This window comes from Homo sapiens, chromosome 7 (assembly GCF_000001405.40).
Source record: "Homo sapiens chromosome 7, GRCh38.p14 Primary Assembly".
Taxonomy (NCBI): Eukaryota; Metazoa; Chordata; class Mammalia; order Primates; family Hominidae; genus Homo; species Homo sapiens.
In genome coordinates this window covers 23,277,267-23,280,082 of record NC_000007.14, presented here as the reverse complement: position 1 = coordinate 23,280,082, position 2,816 = coordinate 23,277,267, and the positions used below count along the sequence as shown (strand labels likewise).

Genomic DNA, 2,816 nt, shown 5'->3' with positions numbered 1-2,816 from the left:
TTGGCCGGTAAACTGCAGTTTGCCAACCCCTGATTTAGAATATAATCCTCCTGACATCTCTATAAGGAAACTGGGTAATATTATCCTCCCCATATTGCACAGTAGAACATGAGAACCTGGAGAGACTTTAGAGTTCACCCAGTTTAATTTCCCTCGCCACCTTCTTGCCTCCAATTTGCAGATAAGGAGGCTGCAGTAGAGAAAAGGGAGAATGACTGGTTTCAGGTCATCTAGCTAAGACATCTTGCTGCAGCTCAGGTCTCTCAATGTAAGTCCTAGTTATCTTCCTCTACTCAATTCCAAAAATCAAATTTTGAAGCCATATCCACAGCCACAAAATCCTTCTGCCACATTCTCATCAGTGGCTAATCTTTTTTTGCTCTAAAGGAATTTATTTCAATAAACATTTTAGCTGGGCGTGGTGGCTCATGCCTGTAATCCCAACACTTTGGGAGGCCGAGGCGGGTGGATCACTTGAAGTCAGGAGTTCGAGACCAGCCTGGCCAACATGGTGGAACCCCGCCTCTGCTAAAAATACAAAAATTAGCTGGGTGTGGTGGCAGGTACCTGTAATCCCAGCTAGTCAGGAGGCTGAGGCAGGAGAATCACTTGAACCCAGGAGGCGGAGGTTGCAGTGAGCCGAGATTGTGCCATTGCACTCCAGCCTGGGTGACAAGACCAAAACTCTGTCTCAAAAAATAAAATAAAAAATAAACACTTTAAAATTAAGGACTCAATAAGCCCAAATCTTGATACTTAATTTGCATCATTAAAACCTATACAATAGGTCAGGCATGGTGGCTCCTCCCTGTAATCCCAGCACTTTGGGAGGCTGAGGCATGTGGATCACTTAAGCTCAGGAGTCTGAGACCAGCCTGGCCAACATGGCAAAATCCCATCTCTACTAAAAATACAAAAATTAGTCTGGTGTGGTGGTGCATACCTGTGGTCCTAGCTACTCTGGGGTGCTGAGGTGGGAGAATCGCTTGAGCCCAGGAGGCGGAAGTCGTAGTGAGCTGAGATCGCACCGCTGTACTCCAGCCTGAGTGACAGAGTGAGACCCTGTCTCAAAACCAAAATAAAACAAAACAACAAACCCATGCAGTGAAATTAATAATGGCAGTTACATTGTAAACTGGAGAAACATTTTGATTAGTGAGATGACATGACATTTGTGAGAAAATTATACATAGAATGAAAATTGGTTAAATACTAATATACCATTAAGGTACCCAAATCCCAAAATGCCTATGGGAGAGCGCCAAAGAAAAAATTTATTCCAGAATTTCAAGGACAATAGGAATGGCTGTTCAGTTCTAAGCAGCAGAGGAACTGTCCCTGCAGATTAAGCTGAGGCCAGTGGGGTTGACCAAGATGGGGGACTCCGGGTCAGAGCTTAGCGCTCTTCCTGCAGTGACACTTGTGCGGTGACATGTTACATTAGTCTGGAATCCAAGCTCTATGAGAACAGAGTCCTTGTCTCTCTTGTCACTATTGAGTCCTCTCCTAGACAAGAGCTTGGGACATACTGGTGCCCAGTAAATGACAGTTGAATAATTGAAATCAGTCTGCAAGGGGTGATTCCTGGGAGCTGAACTCTGCTTTTTTTTTTTTTTTTTTGGGACAGGGCCTCACTCTGTTACCCAGGCTGGAGTGCAATGGTGCACTCTCAGCTCATTGCAACCTCCTTCTCCTGGGCTCAAGCGATTCTCAAGCCTCCCGAGTAGCTGGGGTGACAGCCACCTGCCACCACATCCAGCTAATTTTTGTAATTTTAGTAGAGACGGGGTTTCACCATGCTGGCCAGGCTGGTCTCGAACTCCTGACCTCAGGTGATCTGCCCGCCTTGGCCTCCCAAAGTGCTGGGATTACAGGTGTGAGCCACTGCGCCCGGCCTGAACTCTGATTTTTTAAGGTAACTATTCTGGCAGCTTTGGAACCATTCTTTTAAAAACCTTAAAGGATTTTCCCCCACCAAAAGCCCCATCAGAATGTGGTCACCATCACCCCTGGATGACCACCTTCTCATCTGCCCTTACACTGTCACTCTGGTTTGAAGTTGCTACACATTCTGGATGTAATGAGTGCATTGAACGTATTGCCCTCTAAACTATTAAACAATTGAAAATTCAATGAGGGCAACCAATGTTTATAAATGAGTCAGAAGTGTTTAAAATGCAGACATTTAGAAAAAGTCCCAAGAATAAGAAATTCCCAGAATAATTTATTACCTATACATTTCAATTTTCTTTGGAAGTTCTAACGCTCAACAAACATTAATCAAATTATCTCACTATCTTTTAGGTTGCTTCCCCCGTTTCACAAATTGTGATTCAGCACAAGTTAAATGACTTGTTGCTGGGGTCATAGGGATAATATAAATTTAAATAATTCACTATTTCAGCCCTCTCTCCTGCCACTTGTTAGATTGAAACTGAGGGAGGTTTGATGAGGATTTTGACCTGCTTCCTCAAAGAATGACTGTCTATTTGCTGCTCTCTGCTACCCCCTGTTGATAAGGGAAGGAAAGAGCGGATTTCAAGACCAAATTTCTCAACGTTAGTTCCTTCCACCCAGCAGTAGCAGGATTATCTGGAAACTTGTTAGAAAGCCTTAAGGGGCCTCACCCCAGAACAGTGAATTCGAAGCTCTGGGGGTGGGCCCAGCAATATGTGTTTTAACCAAACTTCAGGTGATTCTGCTGCAATTTGAAATTACTTTTTTGCTTTAGGTACTAATGTCTTGGCCTCCTAGTCATTATAAAGATGATACAGCCTCTCCACACTGCTTCCGTCCTCAGGCCTCACATGGAGTAC

The 2,816-nt window shown here is 44.2% G+C and overlaps 2 annotated features.

Annotated features, from left to right (window-relative positions):
• Positions 2,427-2,476: a silencer, noted in NCBI's record as "silent region_18008". NCBI's record gives its function as "represses an Ori minimal core promoter by ATAC-STARR-seq in GM12878 lymphoblastoid cells {active_cell/tissue: GM12878}" and the evidence as "EXISTENCE:reporter gene assay evidence [ECO:0000049][PMID:35858748]".
• Positions 2,487-2,546: a silencer, noted in NCBI's record as "silent region_18007". NCBI's record gives its function as "represses an Ori minimal core promoter by ATAC-STARR-seq in GM12878 lymphoblastoid cells {active_cell/tissue: GM12878}" and the evidence as "EXISTENCE:reporter gene assay evidence [ECO:0000049][PMID:35858748]".